We start from the raw sequence: 18649 nt of genomic DNA on the forward strand, positions 1-18649 counted from the left end.
CCCATCTAAAATAAACCAGAACTGGGGCAGAGCTTTATCCAAAGAACAAAATCAAATGTGCTTAAAAGGTGATACAGCCAGCTTCACGATCGTGGATCTTCTTGAAGTGGGAAATGAGAGAATTAAGAGAAATCAGATGAGTAATTCAAACCACTGTAAAACCCTGCCAAACATCACAAATGAAGTCTTTTTTTATTTATTTTTTTATTTCAATAGGTTTTTGGGGAACAGGTGGTGTTTGGTTACATGAATAAGTTCTTAAGTGGCGATTTCTGGGATTTGGGTGCACCCATCAGCCAAGCAGTGTACACTGTACCCAATGTGTAGTCTTTTACCCCTCACCCCCTCCCAGCCTTTCCCCCCGAGTCCCGAAAGTCCAATGTATTATTCTTATGCCTTTGCATCCTCATAGCTTAGCTCCCTCAAATGAAGTCTTAACAACACTGACTAAATGTGCACTGTCTAACTCAGTAGTCATTAGCACATGTGGCTATTTCAATTTAAACTTTAGTTCATTAAACTGAAATAACATTTAAAATTCAGCTCTGCAGTCATGCTAACCACATATATCAAGTGCTCAAAAGCCACATGTGGTTAGTGACTACCATATTGGGCAGCACAGATATAAAACATTTGTATCATCATAGAAAGTTATATTTTCCAGTATATAAGACTAACTACTAAAAAAGGGAAAGGGAGTAGAAAAAAATGGTCTTTAAAAAAAAAAAGAGGTCCAAAACCTAAGCATCCACTGTATACCTCTCTTGCAGCTTCCTGGAGCCTCATTCAAACACAATAAACATTCAGTTGACTTGTTATGAGACTCTAGGACTAAATAACCAATGTTGTTCCATTAAAAGATAGTAGCAGTACATGAGCCATGTCTTATTATTTTTGTAATTATTATAAATTTTTAAATAAACTGAGAGCAACCCTTTTTGCAAAAGATTGGTTGATGGCCTCCTGTTTATTCTGGGAATCTGTTCTCCTGATTTCTGGTGGGATGATTTTAGATCTTGCTGGAAAGGAATAGGAAAACATCCTACTTCCCACTTCAAGCACTTTTAGGATATATTTATTTATGATCCTTATTCTTTCCATAAATGTTCAACATAGATTGAATGATTTTTCTTATTTTAGGAATTTTCTTAGCATAAGCATTTGCTAAGGACCACCCCAAATTTGGATGTTATTATGGAACAGTAGAGATTATCTTAGTCAAGGCAAAGCAAGTAATGAAAACCAACTTGGGCTACCTTGATCAGAAAATGAAATTTGTGAGAAGGATGCGGGGGTGCTTCATGGAACCCGAGGATAAGGAGACTTCATGAGCAACTGGGGGACTGGGAAATCCACGAGCTCTCTGCCTCTTAGCTCCACATCTCTTTGTACAACTACTTTCTCCAGAACTTCATTGTTTACTTCACTTCATAGGGTAGAAAAAGACCATCTTATAGCTCTAAGGAATACCTATGGCCACTCCATGACTTCTGGATTTTTGTGTGCTCCTTGGTACTCAGGATTTCTGAGACCCAATTCTAAGTGCCCAGGAAAGCTGATTTACCCGGCTTGCCCCAGTGATCCAAACAACCATGGAAGGAGGGGGGAACCGTCTTAATGCAAACGTGTCAGCAACAGGTACTGAGGTCTCAGAAATCCTGAGTACCAAGGAGCACGCCCTCAGCACTGTGAGACCTGAGTAGATGGTTCAAAATCCAGCCATGGGCCACTAAATTTCCACTTAAAATCATTGTCATGGAATCATTCATAATTTACAGTTGCCATTTTGCCATTGACAAAATTGTGGAAAGAAGGAACTTCCTGACTTGTCTAAAGTCATAGCTACTCATTGGCAGAGACAAAAGAATTATATGTGGACCTTGATTCCTGCCTCCTCCTATTTCTACCACATCCCATTGAAACTTTCACCAATTCAATAGAATTGAAATTGTTGAATTTGCACCCACTAATGATCCCTCAATTATTAACTATTCCCATACTTGAATGTTGTGTACACACTTTTGCACAGTTCTAATGATATGTGCAGCAGGAATCTTGTCTAGGCTGTAGATGAAGCTTGTGGAGGTGAAAGACCCACCCACATGCATGGCATCCACTAATTATCATGGGGTCCAGAAACCTCCCCCCAAATTACTGGAATCTCTGTTGAGCCCAGGAGCAGGTAGAACAGTGCCAAGTAGGGGAAGCCCACAGAAGGTGGGAATAGAGGAGACTGTGACAGTCCCTGGGACAGAGTCTACTGTGCTGGATAAAGGTTGAACCTGATGTGTCAGATTCACCAACAGGACCTGTGGGATAGAGGGAAATGGTAATTCTAGGTACGACTCTGCCTGGATGCTGCCCGCAGGCTCAACCACATTGACAGTGTGTACATGATTTGGGGAAGAAAAAGGATGTACAATACAAACAATTAAGAGAGCTGTAAATTCTTGGGAGCCAGCACCCAGCATCTCTGAAGAGGGAGCGCCTCCAGAAAAGCAGAGATTGGAAGGTGTTTCCCTAGCGGCAAGAGAGGGGTAAGCCCCAGCACACCTAAAGTCCAGGAGGCAACAGAGGCTGCCTTCCATCCCCACTTTCACTGCTGCCCCCACCCCACCGCCCCAAGCAAGTATCAGCAGACCAAAGAAGTCTTAGAGCTTTAAGGGGACTTGGAGCTCCAGAAACAAAAGTAAGTTCTACCAACAAGTCCAATGTAGAAAACTACGGGGAACGACGCTGATTGGCCCCGTTTGCATTACCTGACAACTCCAGGACCAATCACCATGGTGGGAAGGATGTGGCACCATAAGCAGCACACCCTGCGTCAGGTGCCCGTTCAGCCCCCCACAACCACACATGTTAGGGGAGGACCAGCAGGACCTCAAAGGTGAAGAGAGGTACTGTTACTGGAGGAAGAAGTGCTAAACACACCAAAACAGCAGATACCTACTGGGTACTCCCCACCTGAGGGATTTCTACACAGTTAACCTAACAAGGTCAAGAATAAAAGGTATGAATAAGCTGAAATCACTTTAGAGAGGAGTTTCTGAAAAAGAAGATGCTAAGATAAGACCTTAAAGTTCTCCAAGAGGATAATATGGAAAAAAGACAAGGAACTAAGACAACCAAGAAATAGAAGTATAGGAATGAAAAAGACAAAAGAAATAAACTAAAGAGCAATAAAAGTTGTCACATAGGCTGGGCGCGCTGGCTCACGCCTGTAATCCCACCACTGTGGAAGGCCGAGGCCGGTGGATCACCTGAGGTCAGGATTTCGAGATCAAACCTGGCCAACTTGGTGAAATTCCATCTCTATTAAAAAGACAAAAAATCAGCAGGATTAGCAGGCAGGTGCCTGTAATCCCTACTCAGGAGACTGAAGCAGGAGACTCACTTGAACCCGGGAGGCAGAGGTTGCAGTGAGCCAAGACCACGCCACGGCACTCCAGCCTGAGCAACAGAGCGAGACTCCATCCCAAAAAAAAAAATTGTCACGTAGTAGCACCTCCTAACTCTACATGCATTCTTTCATTTAATCCTCCTAAACAGCCCTGAAACAATTCTGCATGATTGATTATCACCCCCACTTAGAGAAATCTGAGTTTCACAAAATGAAATCACTCACCCAAGGTCATTCAGCTAGTTATGCAGCTGGATTGGAAATGTAACCTAGGTTAGACTGACCTCCAAGCCCCTCCCACCCCCTTTTATGTCTCTCTGCCCCCTCCCCACTATACTACCCCCGCATCCTGCAGAGTCTGAAAGTCAATCACGAGGACTTTGGAGCTTGTGTGAATATTTTTGAAAATGCAGTAATATCCATATCAGAAGTTCGCATGTAAGAATTCAATAACTACTTTGAGTTTAACTGGAATGGTAGGAATTGGAAAGCCAGGAAGGTGTGAGGTAGGGCTTCCCACATGTTCATGCCATAAGCATCTCTGTGTGCTTGTTAAAACTGCACCATCTAGGTCCTCATCCCCAGAGATTCCAATTCTTTGGGTCTGGGGTGAGGCCCAAGAAGTGCCACTGCAACAAGCATCAGCTGATTCTGAGGTCATCCTTCAGAAACCCTGGGGAGAGACCACGGAGGAATTCATGATAAGAGGCTATGATTAAAGAAAAAAAGGAGAAAGGTGTTGCATTCTAAGACTGTGAGAACTGGAAAAGAAGAAAAAGAGATGTGTCAAAGGCGACCACTAAATCTACTTATCTGCCTTTGACGATGAATGTAGTCTTTATCCCAAGAAGAGAATATTCTGGAAGAGCTGGGCAACTGGTAAAAGGAAGGGGAGAGGGGGGAGATGCCTCCTGCATCAGTAAGTGGCAAGATACCAAACCTAAGCTAAGGCTTAAAATAATTATTAATACTTGATTTAAGTTTATAAAAGAGTAAGGAATGAAAATAAGAGGAAAGAATGCACTAAGTCAATGTTATTGATTTACACTGTGAAAGAAATGCCAGAACTATTATTTGGATGTCAAAATAACTCCAAGAAGAGTACAAGGCTGTTTTGATAATTTGAAACCAAATACCTCCCTTCTTTGAGATGAGGCTTTCAGACATAGAGCCTCCTTAAATCCCACTGCGATGTTCTGCGCAGGTCATATTTCCTCTTCAAAGGTTATTCCCTGTTAAATTATCTGCAATTTCAAAAAGAACAAGTCGTTGTCCCACTTTGAGTCCCCTTCTCTTAAAAGCATGTTTTGACTAAGATTAATTTATAGCCCAAGGAGATTTGGAGAAAGGAAAAAGCCTTGAAATTGCAAGTAAAAATAAGAATTCCGGTCGCTTCTTAAATATCAAGTAATGTTGTTTTGGGAATAGGACCAGATTTGCAGAGCTACAGGTAAATGGACTGACTGTGGGATTTGCAGCATCCAGAAGACACTTCGGTGGGGGTAGGAAATCTAGCTCGATGCTGCAGGGTGTGGAGGAGTCTTATTGGGAGCCAATACTGGGCAATTTGCTGAGCCTCTCAGCAGTTCACCAGACAAGAAGCGGTAAAGTAGGAAAAAAGAGGACAAAGATGCTCAGCGCCTTCTTGGGAGTGTTGGGAGGCTAACGAGTGAATGCTTGTGAACACTTGTGAAGGGGCTGGTCAGCAGGATGGCCTGGTGCATTTGACTTCAGGCTTCCAGGAAGCACGCTTGTCTCCAACTGTGTCTTGACCACTCCTATCACAACGGATGTGCTCACTGAGAGTAGCAGTATAGACTAAAGAAGACCCTTTATGGATTTTCTCTGATTTTTCCATAATAATTTCTCATTTGCGCTTTTTCTATGCTTGCCTTTACGTAGGTTTGGAATCTCTGCGTCAGTCATATATGTAGCACTTGCTGAACAAACCAATAACTAGGTATTTGAGGACAACTGAAGGGGACCCCGCAGAGCCTGCCAGGCAGTGCTAACAGTTCTAGGTTTCTCACCCACCTTAGAAGACAAACTTCCTTCTACCTCTTGGCTTTTACATATACTCACTTTGATCATTCCAATTCCAGTGGATTTTTTTTTATTATTCAAATGACTGGAAGAAAAAGGTGTTTTCAATAGGGTAAGGTATTAAGTGCACAGTGGCTTTGATCTGTTGGCATTTCCTGAATCCTTGGATTTTCAACTGTGGCCCAATTCTTACTTCCTTAGAAAGAGGATCCGTTAGTTTGCTGAGGCTGCCATAACAACATACCACAGACTAGGGGGCTTCAACAACAGACATTAATTTCCTCACAGTTCTGGAGACTGAAAGTCCAAGATCAAGGTGTCCACGGGTTTGTTTTCTCCTGCGGACTCTATCCTTGGCTTGCTGATAGCCACCTTCTCGCTGCATCTTCGCAAGGTCACCCCTTTGTGCATGTACACCCTGGTGTCACTCCTTTCTTTTTTTTTTTTAGAGTCTCACTCTGTCACCCAGACTGGAGTGCAATGGTGTGATCTCAGCTCACTGCAACCTCTGCCTCCCAGGTTCAAATGATTATCCCGCCTCAGCCTCCCGAGTAGCTGGGATTACAGGCGCGCACCACCACACCCGGCTAATTTTTGTATTTTTAGTAGAGACGGGGTTTCACCATGTTGGTCAGGCTGGTCTCGAACTCCTGACCTCATGATCCACCCACCTCAGCCTCCCAAAGTGCTGGGATTACAGGCGTGACCCACCACCCCTGGCCCACTGCCTTCTTATGAGGACACCACCCTTATGACCACATTTAATCTTAATTATCTTCTTAAATGCTCTTTTCCCAAATGCAGTCACATTGGGGAGTTAGGACTTCAACATGAATTCTGTGACAATACAATTCAGTTCATGATAGAGGATAACCCAGAAATATTAACAGAGTCAACTATTAAGACTCTGAAGAGGCCGGTGTGGTGGCTCACACCTGTAATCTGAGCACTTTGGGAGGTCGAGGCAGGAAGACTGCTTGAGCCCAGGAGTTCAAGACCAGCCTGGACAACATAGTGAGACCTCATCTCTACTAAAAACCTAAAACAAATTGTCCAGGCATGGTGGCATGCACCTGTGGGCCCAGCTACTCAAGAGGTTGAGGTGGGAGGATTTCTTGAGCTGGGGAGGAGGAAGCTGTAGTGAGCCGTGATCACACCACTGCACTCCAGCCTGGGTGACAGGGCAAGACTCCATCTCAAAAATAAAATAAAATCTGAGGCAGGAGAATGGTGTTAACCCAGGAGGCGGAGCTTGCAGTGAGCCGAGATTAGGCCACTGCACTCCAGCCTGGGCGACAGAGCGAGACTCCGTCTCAAAAAAAATAAATAAAATAAAATAAAATAAAATAAAATAAAATAAAACTCTGTAGAATGGTGGAGGGGTTTAAGGTATTACTCTGTTACAACTTGATCCATAATATATCAATGTACAAATACCACGGGTTAAACCATACCTCTAAAATAAATCAACTATATATATAATAAAATCCCATATGCATGGGAGAAGATGATACTATTTCTAGTCTTTACTTTTTTATATAATTGAAAGGGACTTCCATTCAATCAGAAACGCTTGGACATTCATTTTATATCCAAATGATAAAGTATGTCAAAATACACGTCTTAGAAACCACTTGTATTTAGCTTCTGATGGGAGAAAAAAAATGTGGATACAGCATTTAATAAATAAGGTATGAGAGCTTTTCACTCAATATCCTTATGATCCAAAAATCTGCTGCTGCTAAACTTAAAAGCAATTACTGTTTTATAAACAGTGAGACATAATTCAGAAGGCACTTAATCCAACATGTGTAAAATCTGTGTAAATCATCAAAAGTGACTAGCTGATGGAGATTTCTGGTTTCTGGCACTAAATCGCCATTGGCCTATGGTTCTTAATATTTTCCTTCGTCAAGGTACACGACTATAAAACTCCATGAGGATTGACAAATACCTCTTTTGCAAATGAGCTAACGTAAAATACCTCTTTTGCAAATGGGCCAAGAGGCAGTCTATAACATATGATCATTTAAGGGAGAGGTAAGGTCCTGGAACTAAATTGTCCTAAATTGTGTTAAACCACATGCCCACGACAGACTGAACTCATCCCTACTGATAGATTTTTCTGAAGAGTATAGTGCACAGCCTTTCTGGCAGCTCACAACACTTCTACCAGGCACTCCACAACTGACACCATCAAGGTGAAAACATGCAGATGCCTTCTTAGCCTAACCAATACCATTAGCTCAGATTTCCCATTTATCTTTTTATCCTTTATTATTTTCTCCTTGCTTCCAGCATTGGATTACTTTCTTTTAAGTCATATTTCTTTATATAACTACACTTTCATCCAATGCGTGCCACCTCCCATGGAACTTGTCTCTTTTTGTTTTTTTGTTTGTTGTTTTTTGAGACGGAGTCTTGCTCTTATTGCCCAGGCTGGAGTGCAATGGTGCGATCTTGGCTCACTGCAGCCTCCACCTCCCAGGTTCAAGCGATTCTCCTGCCTCAGCCTCCCGAGTAGCTGGGATTACAGGCATGCGCCCCCACGGCTGGCTAATTTTGTATTTTCAGTAGAGACTAGGTTTCTCCATGTTGGTCAGGCTGGTCTCGAACTGCCGACCTCAGGTGATGTGCCCTCTCGGCCTCCCAAAGTGCTGAGATTACAGGCGTGCGCCAGGAAGTTTTCTCTTTAAGCTTCTCCTGTGCTGGAGAGTTATGGTGACTAATATCTACTAACAATCATTAGCCAAGTGTGATGATAGAAAAGAAGACATAGTTGTGAGTGAAACACAAAAAGAAATAGCGCATAGTACAGACTTTTTTGGAAAAATATTTGTATACTTATGACATATTTTACCATAAGGCACCTGATTCAACACAAATATGGCTGGTGATGGCATCGAATCGGGAAAGCACTCATTGTTAACACCCCCTCTAAAGTGCGAAAAACTCAGGTCATTTTCTCTTGACAATGGCACTGAGGTTCTGAAGAACTTCCACAGACAGGCCCTGTACTCTCCAATTTCTTTTCTAATTGCTGTTACCAAATGATTGACCCAAAAAAGCAAAATATAGGAACATTAACTACATTCTCTTACTGGTAATCTGATGGCATTTTACCTCAGTAAGGAATATTTACAGTGAGCAGTATAAAATATTATATTGACGTCCAATTTCCAAGTGAAAATGACTTGTTCACGGGGTTCACCGTACGCTTATTTATAGGCAACTCTGGTATGAATTATCATCATTATTCATTCATTAACTCATTCAACAAATATTCCTTGAGTTTTTACCAGAAACTACGCCTGGTCCTGGGAACACATTGCGAGATATGCAGACAGGATCCCAGCCTGCAGGAAGCTTCAGTCCAGCATCAGCACTAGAAGGGCAGCAGTTTAGAAAGTGAAAGACTTTACCCAGAGCTTGGAAGCTGGTGCCGGTGGTGGGGGCGGGAGGGGGACGGGGGAGGCAGTGGGGGAGGCAGCAGTGGGGGAGGAGGTGGGGGGGGAGGAGGCGGGGGGGGAAGAGGCGGGGGGCAGGCGGGGGGGGGAGGAGGCGGGGGGAGGCGGGGGGGAGGAGGCGGGGGGAGGCGGGGGGGAGGCAGGGGGAGGCAGGAGAAAGGGGGGGAGGGGGAGGCAGGGGGAGGCAGGGGAAAGGGGGGAGGGGAGGCAGGGGGAAGCAGGGGAAAGGGGGGAGGGGGAGACAGGGGGAGGCAGGGGAAGGGAGGAGGGGGAGGCAGGGGGGGCAGGGGAAAGGGGGGAGGGAGAGGCAGGGGGAGGGGGGAGTCGGGGGGGCCGGGGGAAGGGGTGCGGGGGGGGTGGGTCCGTTGGTGGTATGTGAATAACTCCTCCTCTCTTCTCAGGCCCAGTCCCAAGGCGCAGCGTGCGTCAGCAAGACAGCAGAAGCAGGAGGAGAGCTGGCGGGAAGACATGCACCCCTTGAAGACCCAGAGAGAGGCCGTCTGTCTACCGCGTAGCAGTTACATCAGACTGAGACACTTCCTGTTTACAGGAGACTATAAAATTCCTGCCCCGTGCTCATTTGGGGCTGACGCCATTTTAGGCCTCAGCCCATCTGCACCCAGGCGCTCACTGAAACAGTGTGTTGCTCCACACCGCCTTGTTTTGCTTGTTGGCGCGCTCTCAGGGTTCCGACCAATCCAAGAGCCTTGCAGAAAGCATTAACGTGCTTTTCTCTTTGGCAGAGTTTTTCTTTGCTCTGATCTTGGAGACATCCCTCTGCCTAGTGGAAACATAAGGAATACAGAAAGAATGCAAGGAGATAGACCAACGTGAGATTCTCCTTCATGCACTCAAGAGAAAGATGTTGCAGGAAGAGCTAGTCTTTCAGGCTGGGCTGGTGACCTGAGAAAGAATGTCCAGCTTTTCTTCTCCACTTGGCATATCAAGAGCCAGGCGTGGAAGACTAAAACAGGAAATGTTTATAAAAACTGTTCAGCGGTTCGCCAACAAGAAGTGGTAAAGTAGCAAAAATGGGGATGGAGATGCCAGGAGGAAAGATGCCAGGGGTAAAGTGGGAAAATGGGAACCTGAAGCCAGGAGGTCAAGCCAAGCCAACAGGTGTTCTGTTTTTCAGTGAGTATATCCTGTCTTTCCCCATGTGTCAGTTTATAGAAAGAGCAACCTAACAGGCTGCCCCATATACCAATCCAGAGCTTGGACATGTCCTAGCAAATTCGACAGCCCACAAAGCAGTCTGGGCTGGGGGCGGTGGCACGCCTGTAATCACAGCACTTTGGGAGGCTGAGGCAGGAGGATCGTGTGAGGCAAGGAGTTTGAGATCAGTCTGGGCAACATAGCAAGACCCTATCACTACAAAAAAATTAAAAATTAGCCAGGAGTGCCAGTGCACACGTGTAGTCCCAACTACTCAGGAGGCAAAGGTGGGAGAATCACTTGAGCCCAGGAGTTGAAGGTTACAGTGAGCTATGATCACACTGCTGCACTCCAGCTTGGGCAATAGAGCAAGACCCTGTCTCTAAAACTCTTTAAAAACAAAAGGCAAAAACATTTCAAAGGAAACCTCAAAGATCAGCTGTCCCAGGCCACTTCATTCTCCCATAGCAGAGACCCTGAGCTGAGAGGCAGTAAGCCAAGTACCTCCCTGGCCTTGTGGATCCCAGCCTGGGGTCTGCAGGTAGCAAAAGCCAGCCAGGGAGAGATAGCAGATGTGTCCCCAAGATAGTGCCTGAGCCCAAAGAACAGACCAGAAGTTCACCAGTTACAGACAGGAGAATCAGCATGGGGGGGAAGCTGTGTAAACACGCAACCTCACCACACACCCTGCAACATTTTAGGGACAAACACAAGGGGCAGCGCTTTGAGCATGTTTCTCTTTGGGCTGTTACCAAAAGAAGCTATGTAAATTCAACAGGGACTTTTTAAATTAAATTGGATGACACTAAGATTTAAACTGGATGGGATTAGAAGTCATATTTTACCCAATAACCTGTGGAGTGGGTTCAGGAGAAGACCAGATCAAAGTAAAGGCATGGTGGCTCACACCTGTAATCCCAGCACTTTGGGAGGTGGGTGGATCACCTGAGGTCAGGAGTTCACCAGCTTGGCCAACATGGTGAAACCCCATCTCTACTAAAAATGCAAAAAAGATAGCCAGGTGTGGTGGCTCACACCTGTAATCCCACTTATTCGGGAGGCTGAGCCAGGAGAATCGCTTGAACCTGAGAGGTGGAGGTTGCAGTGAGCCAAGATTGCGCCATTGTACTCCAGCCTGGGGGACAGAGCAAGACTCCGTTTGAAAAAAAAAGAAAAGAAGACAAAGTAAAGAGTCACATTTTCTCTGTAGAATGAGTTAAATAGATTACCTGGCCAGATGCAGTAGCTCATGCCTGTAGACCCAGCTACTCTGGAGGCTGAGGCAAGAGGGTGCCTTGAGCTCAGGAGATCGAGGTTGCAGTGAGCTGTGATCTCACTGCTGTGCACTAGCCTGAGTGGCCGGGCAACACCATCTCTAGTTAATTAATTGGCTAATTAAGTAATTGGTGCTTTTCTTGTCCCCATTTTACAGATGAGGAGGTGGGGCACAGGATGGATGGAAACTTTCCACAGTCACAGAACTAATAAGTGGTGCTGAGGACTCAAACCCGGGGAAGCCCACTCTAGAACCCATGCTGGTCATCCATATCCCCAAGGCCCTGGTCAGAACACAGCTAAGCAGATGGCTTGGGTCATCAGGACGTCCATTACATCCAAAGGAAGACAGCCTGTGACGTTTCAAAAGCAAAAGTCCCCTACCAGCCAGTGAAGCTACCTGATTTCTCAGTATCTTACGCCCAGTGACACGATCTACCCTCAAAACTTAAAAAAAAAAGGGAAACATAAACACATAACAGCAGCAGCAATAATTAAAGATGAGATGAGAACAATTAAGAAAAAAGGAAAGGTCTCCTGTGACTGTTTTATTTTTAGGGAAACAGAGAGGAAGAAGAATGATTTTTCTTTTGATGACTCTATATCCAACTCTGAGGTTTGATTAAAGAAATGACCTTGAACCACAGCAAAGAAAAATAAAAGACAATTTCCAGTAAGTATGCCAGTTCGAATTAATGATTTACTTTTTATTTTTAAACTGAATTCAGCAGAGATTTACATGCATTACGATGATTAACATCTGAAATTTGACCTTGAAATAATCTTTACATTGTAAATTCTTAATGATCAAAACAAGGTTCTCAGTGATTAAAACATATTAGTAATTAATTATTAAAGGAGAATAATTGCAAATACAACATTCCTAAAATCTCAAGGCTTTTAAAGCATTTGTACAAATGACTGGACATTTTTTAAATTTGAAAAAAAAAAAAAGCCCTCCATCTGATTCTCATTTTCATTGTCAGTGCAACAACAAAAAAGGTATGCACTTCTCTTCTCATTTTCCACTGTCTCGCAAGCTAGAAATTCTCACGACTACCTTTGATCCCATCAAAGCCAAAGAAAGAAAAGAAAATTGTTCTGTACAGATATATGACATTAAAAAATAATCCCAAAAACTTCTTCTCTAAGGTTAATAAAAGGTCGGCAGTTTTGATCACTTTTAAAAATCAATTTATAAATAATTTAGTCACTTGTAGATGGGACATGATCTTCCTGCTATCCCTAACTACTCTGATGCCAAAACTGGTCATAGCACAAGTGGGGCTGCATAGCAAACTGATCCGCCCAAATAATTTCTACTGGGTTATAAGATTTTAAGAAATAACCATGTCTCACACCATAGAGAAAAACAATTCAACCAGATATCTGTCCCATGTATTGTAGGTACTCTCTGTCAAAGCTGTAACTCTTTTTAACTTGGATGGTCTCACCTAGAGTAGATTTCTTGTTGACAGAAGGAACCCCAGAATGTGTACAGGCCAGGGCCGATTGTGACTTCCATTGGCCAAGGTTGTCCCAGGGCCAGGACAAGGGCCACACAGGTGCACTAGCCTCCCAAGGGCTGAGCATGTGTGCTCAACCATCTGGAGGAAGATAAAAGTGCATCCCCTAAATTCTGCCCAATCCAGTCTCTTGTCCATGGAGTTTCATTAGAAGTGACAAAGTTGAATGAAGAAAAACAAAAGGCAACTCGCCAGAACATTTCATCTCTGTCATGTTCTGCATTGTCAAACATTACTTTTTGCAATTTGCTCTTTGTTGATCTTTATCTTTTTTTCCAATATAAAGGTGCAATATTTGAAATGGTGCCTGTATTAATTTTCTATCACTGCATAACAAATGACCATAAACCTAGTTATCTTAGAGCAGTACAAATTTATAATCTCACAGTTTCTGTAGGCCAGGAGCCCAGCACATGTTAAGTGGATTCTCTGCTCAGGGTCTCACAAGGCTGAAATCAATTTGCTAGCCAGATTCATCTTCATGTGGAGGTTCAACTGGGAAAAGTGCCATCTTCAAGTTCCATCAGGTCAATGGCAGAATTCATTTTTCTGTGGCTCTATGATTGAGGTCCCCATTTTCTTTGCTAGCCATCATCTAGGAAGCATTCTCAGTGACTAGAGGCTGCTTTCAAGCCCTTGACACATGGTCTCCTCAATGGGCCCTCTCCACTTCAGATCTATCACTTCAGAAAGGATCTAGACAGTTAAGGACTCACCTGATTAGGTCAGGCACACCCAGGATGGTCTTTCTTTTAATTGCCTCATAATCAGCTGATTTGGGACCTTGATTATATCTACAAAACCCTTTCACATTTGTCTTATAACATTGTATTCATTGTCCCATCCACACTTAAGAAGGAAGGAGATTATATAGGGTATGTTCACCAGAGGCAGGAATGGGGGCCATCTTAGAATGTTATTTGTTGCATTCCTCTGGAGAACCCTGGCACATACACAAGGTTAGTGCATGAGTAACAATTCGGGTCCACTGTGCATCTCTCCAAACCCAATCTGTCCTGTATTTTAACTACCTTCACACAAGGGGCAAGAATGTTAACCCTCAAGGATGCTGAAATATTCAGTTCAGCCCAGAGGACTCCGGCAGACTTGAATTCCATGTAACCTTGAGGTTGTCATTAGTTTACTTTACCCAGAAACCAGTGACTGTCACTTCTCCCTCGGGAGACTTTTCTGTAGGCACAATTAGTGTTCTCAGCCTGATGACACAGAAAGTGGAAGACAATAAACAGAAAATGCTCCTGTTGCAATGGATATGATATTAACTATCAGACATGCTTTCAGCTGCAAATGATTAAAACCCTAAGCAAACGAGGCTTAAACAACAACAAAGACATGTCCATACGAGGTATGGAGACAGAGAGGCTCCAGGTTAATTATTCAATTACTCATAAAGTACGTGGGTTCTTTCCTTCTTTCTCCTCTGCCACCCTTAGGATGTTGACTTGGGAATATCTCCCACTATATTCCCAGAGAGGCTGCCATAGATCTAGGTATCACACACTGATGACATCTAGAAGCACAATGTGGTCCTTCTCACTTGCCTCTTTTTACCTTTTAGAATAGAGGCTGAGAAGAGCTAAATTGCAGTGCAAAATAGTGAAAAACACCAATGCTTCACAAATTCTTCCACAAAAAGAAGATGAAACACCTCCAAACTCACTCTGTGAGGCCAGTATTACCATGATACCAAAACCATAACAAAGATATTACAAAAAAGAAAACTATAGGCCAATATCCTTTATGAATATAGAAACAAAAATCCTCAACATAATACTAGCAAACTGAAAACAGCAACATAAAAACAGGTTTATGTACTATGACCAAGTGGGATTTATCTCAGGAATACAAGGTTGGTTGATATGAAAATCAATCAATGTAATACACTTTAATGGAATAAAGTGCGAAAACACATGATCTGACATGAAAAAAGCATGTAACAAAACCCAACACTCTTCCATGATAAAAAACAATGAATAAAGTAGAAATAGAAGGGCACCTTACAAAGGGCATACACAAAAACTCATAGTTAATATATTTTTCACTGTAAATTTACAAATTATAATTGTATGTATTTATGAAGTACAAAGATTTATGATATATTTATACAATGTGGAATGATTAAATCGAGCTACTAACATACTCATCACCTCAAATACTTATCATTTTTTGTGGTGAGAACATTTGAAATTTACTCTCAGCAATTTTGAAATATACAATACACCATTGTTAATTATAGGCACCCTGTTGTGCAATTGGTCTCCGAAACCTATTCCTTCTGACTGAAACTTTATACCCTTTGACCATAACCTCCCTGTTCTTCTCACAACCCCAGCCTCTGGCAACCACCTTTCTGCTCTCTGCTTCTGTGAGTTTGATTGTTTCAGATTCCATATACAAGTGAAATCATGCAGTATTTGTCTTTCAGTGCTTGACTTATTACATTTAGCATAATGTCCTCCAGGTTCATCCATGTTGTTGCAAATAAGAGAATTTCCTTGTTTTTTAAGGCTAAATATTATCCCATTGTGTACATACCACATTTTCTTTATCCATTCATCCACTGATGAACATTTAGGTTGATTTCAAAACCTGGCTATTGTGAATAATGCTGCAAGGAACACAGGAGTGCAGGTATGTCTTTGACATACTGATTTCAAATCCTGTGGATATATTCCCAGAGATTACTGGATCATATGGTAATTCTATTTTTAGTTTCTTGAGGAATCTTCATACAATTTTCCCTAATGGCCGTACTAAGTTATATGCCCATCAACAGTGTACAAGGGGTCCCTTTTCTCCATCCTTGCCAACATTTATCTTGCATCTTTTTGATAATAGCCACTCTGACAGGTGTGAGGTGATATTTCATTGTGGTTTTAATTTGCATTTCCCTAATGATTAGTGATGTTGAGCACTTTTTCATATAGCTGTTGGCCATTTGTATGTCTTCTGTTTTTTTTTTTTTTTCTTTTTTTCGAGACAGAGTCTCTCTCTGTTGCCCAGGCTAGAGTGCAGTGGCATGATCTCAGCTCACTGCAACCTTCACCTCCTGGGATCAAGCGATTCTTGTGCCCTGCCACTTGAGTAGCTGGGACTACAGGTGTGTGTCACCACACCTGGCTAATTTTTATGGGTTTTTGGCAGAGACGGGGTTTCACCATGTTGGCCAGGCTGGTCTCGAACTCCTGGGCTCAAGTGATCCCCTGCCTCGGCCTCCCAAAGTGGTGGGATTACAGGCGTGAGCCACCGTACCCAGCCTGTATGTCTTCTTTTAAGAAATGTTTATTCAAGTCCTTTGACCATTTTTAACTGTATTATTTGTTTTCTTGCTATTGAGTTGTTTGAGTTCCTTATAGATTTTGGATATTAACCCCTTATCACATGTATGGTTTGTAGATATGTTTTCCTAATCTATAGGTTGTTTCTTCACTCTGTTACAGTTTCCTTTGTGGTGCAGAAGCTTTTTACTTTGAAGTAATCCCATTTGTCTATTTTTGCTGTGCCCGTGATTTTGGAGTCAAATTCAAAAAAATAATTGCCCAGACCAATGTCATGCAGTTGGACCCTTATCTCTTAACATATACAAAAAGTAATTGAAATGAATCAAAGTCCTGAATGCAAGAGCTAAAACTCTAAAACTCTTAGAAGAAAAGAAAAATAAGTATAAGCCTTCATGACCTTCAATTAGGCAACGGTTTCTTTGATATGACACCAAAAGCACAAACAACCAAATGAAACAAATAGATAAATCGGGCTTCATCAAAATCAAAAACTTTTGTGCTTCAAAGGACACTGTCAGGAAAGTGCAAAGGCAACCCACAGAATGGGAGAAGATATTTCAAATCATATATATCTGTTAAGGGTCTAGCATCCACAATATATAAAGAAATCTTACAACTCAACAATAAAAGGATAAATAATTCAATTGTTAAATGCAAATCAAAACCACAAGATACTTCCTCACACCCACTAGGATGGCTTCAATGTAAAAGACAAAAAACAAGTGTTGGTGAGGATGTGGAGAAACTGGGACCCTCATACATTACTGGTGGGAATGTAAGATAATGCAGCCACTTTTTTTTTTTTTTTAAGACAGAGTCTTGCTCTGTCACCCAGGCTGGAATGCAATGGCATGATCTCAGCTCGCTGCAACCTCCGCCTCCCGGGTTCAAGCAATTCTCCTGCCTCGGCCTCCCAAGTAGCTGAGACTACAGGTGCATGACACTATGACTGGCTAATTTTTGTATTTTTAGTAGAGAAAGTGTTTCACCATGTTGCCCAGGCTGGTCTCGAACTCCTGACCTCAAGTGATCTGCCTGCCTCGGCCTCCCAAAGTGCTAGGATTACAGGTGTGAGCCACCATGCCTGGCCTGTGCAGCCACTTTTAAAAACAGTTTGGCAGTTCCTCAAAATTCCACTCCTAGTTATATATCCAAGAGAATTAAAAACACATGTTCACACTAGAACTTGTATAGAAATGTTCATAGCAGCATTATTCATAAGAGCCAAAAAGTGGAAACAACCTAAATGAATGTTCATCAACTGATGAATGGACAAATAAAACATGCTATATCATACGATGGAATATTATTCCACATAAAAATTAATGAAGTACAGATATATGCTGCAACATGAACTTTGAAAACATTATGCTGAGTGAAGGAAGCCAGTCAAAAGGCCATGCATTGTATGGTTCCTTTATATTCCTTTATTACATGACACAGATCCCTTTATTATATGAAATACCCAGCTTCCTTTATTATATGAAATATCTAGAATAGATAAATTCGTAAAGACAGAAACTACGTTGGTGGATGCCTAGGGCTGAAGGGAGGCTGTGGTAGGTAGTGACTGCTGGTGGGTAAGGTATTTCTTTTGGGGGTGATGAGAATGTTCTGGGATGAGAGAGTAGTCATAGTTGGACAATGTTATAATTATACTAAAAATCAGTGAATTTTGCACTTTTAAAGAGTGAATTTTATATGTGGATTAAATCTTGATTTCTTTTTTTCTTTGAGATGGAGTCTCGCTCTGTCACCAGGCTGGAGTGCAATGGTGTGATCTCGGCTCACTGCAACCTCCACCTCCTGGGTTCAAGTGAATCTCCTGCCTCAGCCTCCCAAGTAGCTGGAACTACAGGCACGTACTACCATGCCCAGCTAATTTTTTTGTATTTTTAGTAGAGACAGGGTTTCACCATGTTGGCCAGGATGGTCTCGATCTCTTGACCTCGTGATCTGCCCACCTCAGCCTCCCAAAGTGCTGGGATTACAGGCGTGAGCCACCGCACCTGGCCTATATCTTGATTTTTTAAAACACAATGAGAATTCGAAGTTCACAAGAATGTTCTGAAAGGGATGTGGTGAGGATAAGAGAGAAATGAAGGAGAAGGGGTGAGATCGTGAGGAGTACAGGCTTATGGGCTGGTGCAATGGATGAGAAGTCAGTTTCATAAGGGCTGGAAGGCCCTGACACACAGAGCTGCTAAGGTGCAATTTTAAGTTGACGCTGCTGTGTGTAACAGGGTTCCCCCTCCAATCCCTCTTCTGAGACTGAGGACACAAGCTCAGAAAACAGCAGGGAGCCTTTGGTGATTACACCTAGAGAGGAGAAGAAAGGCATGGACGCTTAGTGTAAAGTGTGTTGGAGTGACGCAGTGAAGGTCTTAATACTCTCAGCAGGCCGGGTGTGGTGGCTCACGCCTGTAATCCCAGGACTTTGGGAGGCCGAGGCGGGTGGATCACTTGAGGTCAGAAGTTTGA

General features: G+C 43.0%; 2 long non-coding RNA genes across 2 annotated transcripts in view; one reads left to right on the top strand and one right to left on the bottom strand.

The window, feature by feature from the left end:
- LOC101928269 (uncharacterized) overlaps positions 1-8846 on the bottom strand; it is a 50008-nt gene extending 41162 nt beyond the window's left edge. The window contains exon 1 of the long non-coding RNA NR_110418.1: positions 8743-8846. This is a non-coding gene — a long non-coding RNA (uncharacterized LOC101928269). The remainder of the gene's footprint in view (positions 1-8742) is intronic.
- A 652-nt stretch (positions 8847-9498) lies between these two features.
- On the top strand, positions 9499-12474 carry LINC01436 (long intergenic non-protein coding RNA 1436). Its single transcript, NR_110419.1, has 2 exons — positions 9499-10044; positions 11498-12474. It is a non-coding gene; the product is annotated as a long intergenic non-protein coding RNA 1436 (long non-coding RNA).
- Positions 12475-18649: the final 6175 nt, after the last annotated feature.

The sequence above is a fragment of the Homo sapiens genome, chromosome 21 (genome assembly GCF_000001405.40).
Source record: "Homo sapiens chromosome 21, GRCh38.p14 Primary Assembly".
NCBI classification, from domain to species: domain Eukaryota; kingdom Metazoa; phylum Chordata; class Mammalia; order Primates; family Hominidae; genus Homo; species Homo sapiens.